The sequence below is a fragment of the Homo sapiens genome, chromosome 4 (genome assembly GCF_000001405.40).
Source record: "Homo sapiens chromosome 4, GRCh38.p14 Primary Assembly".
NCBI classification, from domain to species: domain Eukaryota; kingdom Metazoa; phylum Chordata; class Mammalia; order Primates; family Hominidae; genus Homo; species Homo sapiens.
This window is the reverse complement of record NC_000004.12, coordinates 99,659,667-99,670,263: the sequence shown is the minus strand read 5'-3', so window position 1 is coordinate 99,670,263 and position 10,597 is coordinate 99,659,667.

Here is a 10,597-nt window from a genome sequence, read left to right as displayed (position 1 = left end):
AGTTTTATCTCCTGGAAACCTGTCTTTTCTGAATTCTTTTGAATTCTTTGGCACTTTCTACTTCTAAGATCATCCCATATGAGAACTTCCACTAAGTTTTTGTTATCAAGAACAGGTCTTATATTCATCATATTTGCAACACTATATGCTAGGGTCTGCTGAAAGCTAGAAAAGAAGGTCAGGAGGGTTCCTAATACTTTTCATCAAAAGAAATATGATATAGGGTATTCTTCAGGAGCTTATGCTGATCCTTATGTTTGTTGTGGCTCCATTCAATACCAAGACCTGGCTATAATGTCAGCATGATGGTAGATCTAGTATTTAAATGTCCTTGAAAATTAAGGGGATGAGGGGCTAAGAATAAAGAGTTGTTGAATAATGACTGCTAAAAGACACTATCCAGGGAGAAAACTAATTTCTCTTTGTCCGTATTCTTTAGTCCAAATATTTTATGATGCCTTCCTAAAAATAAGCACAGTAGTGGCACTTTAGAATGGCCGTAGTGGTTATGTAAGTCATCCTAATAGCAACTGTGTAAAATTGACCACTTACTTAAGTTAACAATGATGGAAAATTGTGATGGTAAGCTCTTTGACACTTTCATAAAAATGATGATAGCCAGCCTCCAAGATGGCCCCAGTGATTTCTTCCTTCCAGTATTCCCACTCTTATGTAGTCCTTTTCCACAATATAATGGATGTGACTTCCAAAACTAGGTTATAAATGGTGCCATGGATTCTGTAGTGCTCTCTCTCTTTCTTGGATCACTTGCTCTGGGAAAGCCAGCTGCCATGTTAGGAAGCCATTCAAAACAGCCCTGTGGAGAGGCCCACATGGTGAGGAACTGAGGTCTTCTACCAACAGCCAACAAGGAACTAAAATTTCTTGCCAGTGTATGAGTGAATCTGGAAGTGGATTCTCCAGCCCCAGTTAAGCCTTTGTATATCTTGAGCCCTGTCCCACATCTTGACTGCAACCTCATGAGAGATTCTGAACCAGAACCCACTAGCTAAGTTCCTTCCAAGTTTCTGACTCACAGAAACTATGTGAGATAGTAAAAATTTTAAGCCACTAAATTGTGGCATAATGTGTCATGCAGCAATAGATTACAAATACAGTGTTGTATGGAAACTTTTGAAGGTACTATCTTCTCTCAAATTCTAGAGCGCTAATAAAATAATTGACTTTGTTTATCTAGTGTCTATGTGTACAATTTAATCTCCATTTGAAAATGTTTTCAGAATTCTGGAAATTTTATTTCTTTACCTTAGTATTTACCAAATTTTAACAATAGCACTTGATGATTCAAAAGTTGGGCCTTGGAATCAACAAATTTTAGTTTAAATCACAGTCCTGCTATTCATTACCAGTACGACCCAAAGAAAGATGGGCCTCTGTTTTCTTGTCTGAATCATGATTATAATAAACACCTAACCTAAAAGACTAACATGAGGATTAATTAGATAATTGCAGGATCCCCTAGTTTCCTCTTGCTTTCTTCCTGTGTCCTTACTGAAAATCACAGAGTGCCTTGACCATTTTGTGACCCAGCCAGCTGCAAGTTTTTCCCAGCAGGCCTGAAGCCAAACTAGGGCCTTGAACATTCATAGACACTGATAAAGGTCTCTAGGTTGTTGCCCAAAACACTGAGAGGAACTGGCTCCAGCCTTGAGTAAAAATTTTTAAACCCTCATATAAACTCTGTACCCTGACCCCCGCTCTGCAGACATACCTAAGTAAAATATCCTTTTTCTCTCACTGTCTGTCACAAGGATTAATGCAGCACTCTGTAATTAGGTTCCCCTAATAAATGCTTTGGGCCGATTACCCTGGCATTTATTGCTTCTTTCTTTGGAATCCCAACCAGCTCCATCTCAGCTTCGTGTGGGGACACCCCTTGTAGGAATTCCCCTGACACTGCTTTTGGGGGTGATTCCAGCCTCAGCGTCAAAGGACCAAAACAATAATATATGTAGGCCGGGCGCGGTGGCTCACACCTGTAATCCCAGCACTTCGGGAGGCTGAGACGGTTGGATCACGAGGTCAGGAGATCAAGACCGTCCTGGCTAACACAGTGAAAGCCCATCTCTACTAAAAATACAAAAAAAAATTAGCCGGGCGTGGTGGCAGACATCTGTAGTCCCAGCTACTTGGGAGGCTGAGACAGGAGAATGGCACGAACCTGGGAGATGGAGCTTTCAGTGAGCCGAGATCGCGCCACTGCACTCCAGCCTAGGAGGCAGAGTGAGACCCTGTCTCAAAAAAAAAAAAAAAATATATATATATATATATATATGTGTGTGTGTGTGTATGTGTGTGTAAAACAGCATATTGCTAGCTCATAACAACTACTCATTAAATTGTACCATTGATGATGATATGATGATGATGAGGATAATGTTGACATGATGATGAGGATGATGGAAAAGGAAAAAATCTCCTTGTTTTTAACCTGTAGGTAAATTCTTTATGAGGTAAAAGATAGAAACTTTGCATTTCTGTATTATGGTGTTCTCAGTTTATTGCCCTGTATTTTCTTCTTGAACATGTATAATTACATCTTTAATAATCATTATTTAATTTGGCAACATAACTCCCTAGCTTCTTCACCGTTTTCCATAGCCCATGATAAAGAAGGCATGTTGCAGGTATTATCATGATAAAAGCACATACTATCGAGTCAATTAAGGGACAATTTTATCTATAAGTTTAATTTTGGTCATTATTTAGATTCCTACTGATTGCTTTTTCTGCAGTTAGTTTACTTGATAGTAAAGAGATAATGAAATGCATAAATTGTTCAACTATTCAACCCTTTGTAGAGAGGTACAACTATATCCTTTGGCCAAGGGTCTGAAAACCTTGTAAGGTTAGTTAAATCTCAATAGTAGGATTAATTTTAAAAGCTACATAGAGTTCACTTTCTTTAACAAAATTTTACTGTGTCTCAATCTCATAGTTAAATGTGAGTTTGGATTTCCTTTCCCCATGGAGTTTAACAAATGAGAAAAGAAGACCTACTTATTATCACTGATATGACAAGTATTTGGTGCTTCTCCTAGTCTCAATTTTCTTATCTTTAAAGTGAGTGGATTGAGCTAAATGACTTACAGAGTAATTCTTCTTACAGATTTCTACTCATGCTCCAAGTGGTGAACCACAAATCCACTTCCCAACAAAGGCTACAAAATAAATGCTTTGCTGAATCTTGTTTCTAAATGAATATCTAGCATTAGAGGAGAATTCTACCCAGCCTTTTATGTGTCTTTGGAGTATCTGGGGTCAGTAAGTTATGAAAACTTTACTAGATGGTCCCCAAAAGATCAAAACTCATTGCTAGGATGTCGTTTGTGATGAGACTGCAATAGAAATGATAGCAACAAACAACACTGATGGGCTCACTGTTTTAAGCAATTCACATGTATTATCTTGTTCAATCCTAAATCTGACTCTATCAGCTATTGCTATATTTTACAGGGTCACCTGGTGTCTCACTAAGAGTATTCTACCTTCTCCACTTCCAGACATAGGAGAGATCATTCTTATTCTCTCTACAGTGCTGTGCCCTAAGCAATTGAGTCATTGGCATTGTCTTCCTCATGCCAGTAGCCATGGAAGCTGAACTTTTAAAAAATGTAGTTCTGCAAACCTAGAACTAAACAAGAAAATGTCCATTCACGGCAAAAGGATAAATGTGTGCTCTAGAAGTCCATTCTGAGAGATATAAACACTTTGCTCAGAAGCCGTAAAGCCCAGTATTCCCCAACCCTTTCACTCCATTATAAACACAAATACTGTAAACACATACAGAGGGTGTTCACTCCTGCCATTTTACATAACCTAAATTTGATTGAATACCAAAAGAAATGGAAAACACATTTAATGGCTTTTTTAAAAAATGCAAGTAAACCAGATGAATGAATCATTTTATACAAGAGAGGAAACAAATAACAGGAATTTGAAAAGATCAGGGCTATGGCTAGGAAATAAAAAATTCTGCCTTTCTAGCTAATAATATGGGTCAGTGGTTCCTAGATATGTGTTTCTTGTGTTTATTTGATTTGTCTAATTAAGGCCATTGGTATTTATGAAAGCGTTTCCATGGAAACAATGTCTAAGGTGCACAGCTGGTTCCAAATGGACTTGTTTCAGACACAGAACAGGAAGCAAGACTTCAGAATAGAACTCAGAGGCCAAAAGGTATATCTAACCTCTGAAATAGAGAACTTTCTTGAACTCAAGGGCATTTGATTTATATAAATTCATCCACTCTGTGTGTGGGGATGGGGAACTCAGAAATAAAATGTTGCCAAGTGTTATTTTGCATATATGTTCTTTATTATATACTGAATAAATACGTGCATTTATATATTGCATACAAGTATGTGCATTCACATATTATGTTATGCAGGTTTTTACTCAAAATCCTGAAATCAGAACTTATGAGTGATTTAAAGAATTTCTAAGGATAATTTTCACCTTTCCTGCTTTTTATTTTAACATGTCTTAGAGGCCCAACCAGATAGCAGCCTGAGACGCCACTGTGAATTAAAATGTCCCTGTGAGTGAGTGACAAGGCTGAAAGGATGGATGCCTCCTGGTTCCAAGTATTAATTCAGATCTGTTTGCTAATAAAGTAGTGTCTCTCCCTTTCAGATACTGCAATTCACCTGGAATAGAGAAGGAGGAGAAGTCAAAGTGGCTCAGGAGTGTATTTGATCAGTCTGTTAGATTTGATCCAGAATTGTGCAGAAGTTGCTTTAGTTACACTAGGACAGTTGGGAGAAAACCCAGGTAAGAATATCTTTCAACTAGGAGGACACATTCCAAAATCAGTGAGAGAGTGTTCTGTAAGGTATCGTATTAGAAGTGTGTTGTGTTGAGTTAGAAATGGTTTTCTTGCACACAATTTTGCTTCCTCAGCTGCTGAAGGCATACAGAGAGGATGGCTTATCAGAGTTAGTCAGAAAAGCCCTCTGCAGTTATTTCTATTCTTAGAGGCTGTGTGTGTGGTAAAGGTACAGAAATCAACTCAAGTCTTATGGAAGGGGGTATATGTTTCAGGGACTAAAATAATACCACATTTAAATCAGGTAGGTACTTGCCTAGGAATGAAAAGCCATCCTCTCTAAAAAGTCTCTGGAGGTTTTTATTTAAATGTTTTCAGCAAAATAAACTGTTACTAGGAAAACATGTTCTCATAAATATAAGAAGGGTCTGCAGGCCTGAAATGTATCTGGCTGATGTCTCTTTCTTTGTAATCCCACTAAGCCCAGATACTCAGCCATGAAAGTCAGAACTCCCTGCACCCTTCATCACCCATGGCTGCTGGCAGAAAGCAGCCAATGTTCTGAGCTTAAAGTAAACAGTCTTTCTTGATTAATGACCCCTGACCTTTTAAAGACCATGTATTCAGTGAGCTATTTTGACCACAGAGGCTCTTACATGATATATGGGCTGATCAACAGACATGGAAGAATTCTGTTGGCCTGGTTTAATGAAGTGCTATAGCATACTCCAAAGAGACCTACTCTTGATTTTCCTCATCACTTTTTGAGCTGAATTATAAACAAAAATTATTACTTCAGAATTTATTAATTCTGAATTTGCATCATTTAATAACAGCATATTAAGTATTTTATCTTTGCTTTAATTTAAAAAGTGTTCTACTAAGCAAATTTATAATGTAAACAAGATGAGGAAATTTTTGCAAACTTTTGAAAATTAAGTGTTTCTAAGGAGTTTGTATACAACTATTTGTAAACAACATGTTTGTAATACCCATAGATCATAATGCTTTGATGCATTAATTATAAATTTTTTTACCTATTCAGTAAAGGAGTATTTTTTCCTAAATAATCTTGCTAGCTTCTCTCCGGTTATCCAAAAGTAATTATTAGACTATTTAATTATTGATTCAATAATGTAGATAAAAGAGCATTTGCTGAGTTTCTATTGTTCAGTCATTACAGAGTTAATAAAGATGTATTGATGCTCACTATGTGCTAGGCCCTTTTTTGGGCACTGAAGACAATATCATGAACAAAGGAGAAAAAATAAAAAGAACAAAAAGAAAAAAGAAAATCTTTGTCCTTATGAAGCTTGTATTGTCCTAGATGTTAGAATTAAAACAATAAATATGTTAGACATGATTCCTGCCTGTATACAGTTTTGATTCAGGTGGGAAAGATGGGCAACAAACCAGGAAAATAATTTTATAAAGAGAATTCAATAATAAGGTAATGTACAGGGTGATGGGATAGGACATGGTCACTCTGACTCCCACTTTGGATACAGTGGTCAGAGAAGATCCCATGAAGAAATGATTAAGCTAAAACATGAGGGATAAGAAGGAGCTGGAAATTTAGAGCCAAGGGAAAGGGGAAGAGATTTTCAGGCCGGTTTATAGCCCTAGGCAAAGAAGAGTTTGCTGGGGGAGGAACCTATGACTGGAACTTAATGTGAGCAGCCCTGGAGGTTCAGGTGGGAACCAGATCATGTGTGTCCTTGTAACCTGAAGTAAGGGGATTGGGCTTTACCTAAATGAAATGGAAAGGGGTTTAAGACAGGGAGTAGCAACCAATTTCTATTTGTAAAAAAAAATGTCTGCCTGCTGGAGAATGGATTGCAGAGGGGCACGGAGGGAGCAGGAGGGCAACTTGGAGCCATGTAAGAATGGTGAGGGCTTGGACCACTGTGGTGACTTTGAAGATGGAGAGTAGGGAATGGGTTTGGGATGGACTTTGGAGGTTGATTTGAGAGCGTTATTTAAAAATGGGAGCACCGTAAAAGGGAAGAACCAGGTCTAAATTGATGAAGTGCCACATATTAAAATGGAAAAGACCAGGGTAGAAATAAGGTTTGCTGAGGGGAAGGTTGACATGAACAATGATGAGTTCACTTTTTGATGTGTTTAACCTCTGTAATGGCAGTCAGGCATCCACATGAAAATGTCAAGTAGCCCATGGGATATGTGAGTTAGAATTGAGGACACTGTTTAGGCAAAGGCATAAAAATTAGCAATCATCAGTAAACACAAAATGTTTAAAACAAAGGGCCAGGATGAGATCAACGGAGAAAAGAATATAGATGATCAGGGGTCAATTAGTCAGCAATTCTTTATTGTGTGCTCCTTATGTGAGAGGCACATTGCCTCGTCAATGTTGACAGACAAAGATGTATAAGACAATATCTTTATCCTCAAGAGACCTACATTCAAGGTGAAAGGAAAAACACATACAATTGAAAGCAAATGTCAATAAAAGAACCAAAATGTATTAGTCCAGAGAGTAATTACTTTGGGTATCAAGAATTAGACTCATTTTGTGATGGTGCTGGTAGTCTGGGGAACCCTAGATGGGAGGCTGGTCTAGGATTCAGGGGGATTGTAAAACTTCAGAAACTAGATGGTTTGTATACATGTGCGTATTTTTTTAAAAAAAGAGTGAATTGTGAAATTCTCAAAGGGTTTTCTGAATCAAAAAAAGGATTAGAACCATTGCCATGGGAGATAAATTTAGTCTCAATCTTAAAAGGATTGGTTAAATTATAGAAGGTACAGAGAAGGAAAAAGGATATTTCAGGAATGGGGAGAGTGCAAAGAAACTTCCTGAGATAAAAAGACATTCAAGGCATCTGTGGGAATAGTTTTAGACACTGTGTTTGGGACAGGGGATTTATATAAAGCAGTGAATAAACTAAAACTGGAAAAATAGGTGGGAACTGAAATGAGGGACAACCTTAAAGGAGAACTAAGGAGATTAAATTTTCTTCTACAGACCATGGGGAATTATTGCATTCAATTCAGCTAAAAAATATTGAGCATCTGATAAATGCAAAACAATGTGTGATGTCCTGGTGTGTGTGTGGTAGGGGGCGGAGACTCACATGTAGTAGGAGAAGGGTTAAAATTTCTCCAAAGCATAACAATAGTTACCAATCATTAGCATTTATTCAGTGCTTACTATGGGCCGGGTTCTGTACTGAGTGCATTAAATGTAGTTCTCTAACTTACTCGGCACAACCTTATTGAAGTGTACCCTTTTGGGATACAAGGAAGCTAAATTACAATTCCTCGGTTACGTGACTAGGAATGGTGGAGTCACTATTCAAATTCAGGCAGTGTGGCACTGCCCATGCCCTGAATGTTGGCTCTGACTCCCTGCTTCTCACACCAGGGGCGCTGATACCTCTGGAGGCACTCTGCAGTGTACTAAGTGGTATGTGAAGGACAAAATAAATATTGCATATTTTAATAAGCCATAAACTGTATTTCAAGATTTGAAATATATACATATGAAAACAGACATGATTGTAAAAATCACATTAATTCTTAATGACTATATTGTATAACATTTATTCAGAAAAGTGCACAATCATAAGGATACAGCTCAATATACTTTCACAAAGTGAATGCATCCATGTAACCGCCACCCAGATGAAGAAATACAAGATTATCAGCACTCTAGAGCCCCAGTGTGCTCTCTGACAACTGTAACTAAAATTAACCACTATCCTGATTTCTAACTAATGACTGATTACTTTGTCTTGTTTTAGATTTCTATATAAGTAGAATCATATAGTATGTTCTATTTGCCACTGACTTCTTTTCCTTAAAAGTATGTTTGTGGCCGGGCGCCACGGCTCACACCTGTAATCCCAGCACTTTGGGAGGCCGAGGCGGGCGGATCACGAGGTCAGGAGATGGAGACCATGCTGGCTAACACGGTGAAACCTCGTCTCTACTAAAAATACAAAAAATTAGCCGGGCGCAGTGGTGGGCGCCTGTAGTCCCAGCTACTCGCGAGGCTGAGGCAGGAGAATGGCGTGAACCCGGGAGGCTGAGCTTGCAGTGAGCTGAGATCGCACCACTGCACTCCAGCCTGGGAGACAGAGCGAGACTCCGTCTCAAAAAAAAAAAAAAAAAAGTGTTTGTGAGATTCATTCATGTTTTTACATGTGACAGTAGTTTGTTGATTAAATACACATAGTTTTTAAGATAAAATATGATGTCACAGTGAAATTTTTTGCTTTTTGAGGGAATATACAGCAATTTTTTGAGAATGCAATTAAGTCTCCTTCTGGTCACTCTGATGACAAAGTCTGAACAACACAAGAGCAAACACTGATTTGGGGTCAGGAGAAATGGATTTTAGTCTTCCTCCACTATTCATAGCTGTGTGACCTTGGGCAAGTCTCTTCTCTAAACTTCTGTTCCGGTACTGATAAAATAAGAAAGTTAAGCTAAAATGTCTGTCTTTAGTCTACTTCATTGTGAATGTTCTTTACTCTAACCCCAAGCTTCAGCTTAGTTTGGGTTTAACTTAAGGAAAAGTTATAGAGAAAATACATTTTTCCAAAATAAAATTATTTTTTTATTATAAAAGAAAAGCACATTTGTTCTAACAATTCAAACAAGACAGAGCTACCTAAAGGAAAATGTAATAATGCACTCATCCCTTTGTTGAATTCTACCTTCCCAGACATACAAAAATAATGTTAGTTTTGTATTTATACTCCCATAATATTTTCCATGCTGATAGAACCCTATGCTTACTTAAATGGATGTTACTGTTATTGTTATTGTTTTGTTTTTTTGTTTTTTTCTGAGACGGAGTCTGCACTGTTGCCCAGGCTGGAGTGCAGTGGTGTGATCTCGGGTCACTGCAAGCTCCGCCTCCCGGGTTCACGCCATTCTCTTGCCTCAGCCGCCCGAGTAGCTGGGACTACAGGCGCCCGCCACTATGCCCGGCAAATTTTTTTTTTTTTTTTTTTTTTTGTATTTTTAGTAGAGACGAGGTTTCACCGTGTTAGCCAGGATGGTACCGATCTCCTGACCTCGTGGTCCTCCCGCCTTGGCCTCTCAAAATGCTGGGATTACACGCGTGAGCCACCGTGCCTGGCCTGTTACTGTTATTTTTGAAATGGAATGGTACTAACACATTTTATTCTTCAATTTTCTCTTCATGGAAATCCTTTCAAGGTTAAAACTGTTCATTTGAATTAAAGTCTGCACAATGTTCCATAGCATGCATTCACTGTAATCAGTCAATCATTTCTCTATTGATTGATATTTAGGTGGCTTCCTTTTTTTTTTTTGCTATCATAATGCACTACAACAAGCATCCTCATGCATATAATGTTAAGCCTTCATAGTCTTTCTCATTTTGTATGATAGATATAAATGGTCAGATTGTTTTCTAAAAAGTTGCTCTAATTTGCATCTCAGTACTTGAGGTTTGTGAAGGTTTGAATGTGAGATTTAAAGAAAGCGAAGACATGACATCTTAAATAATTTTCAAAAATATTCATAGAAATAGAAAGCTAAAAAATAAAATATTGAGTGTATCTTTACAGGCTCGTGTTTGAAATTGCTGAAGTCTGAAATCAGATGTGTAGGGAGAAGAAACATTTTCCAAAATAAACAGAAACAGAAACATGGTTTTAGCCCCAAAAATGCAATATCAAGAATTAAAAGGTGAAAAAAATTATTTCTTAAAAAAAATCACAGAAATAAGTCACTCATGTGGTTCATAGACAGGTAGCTGAGCTGGCTGGTTAATGAAACACTGTTTCAACATCAACCTGAAAAAACTTA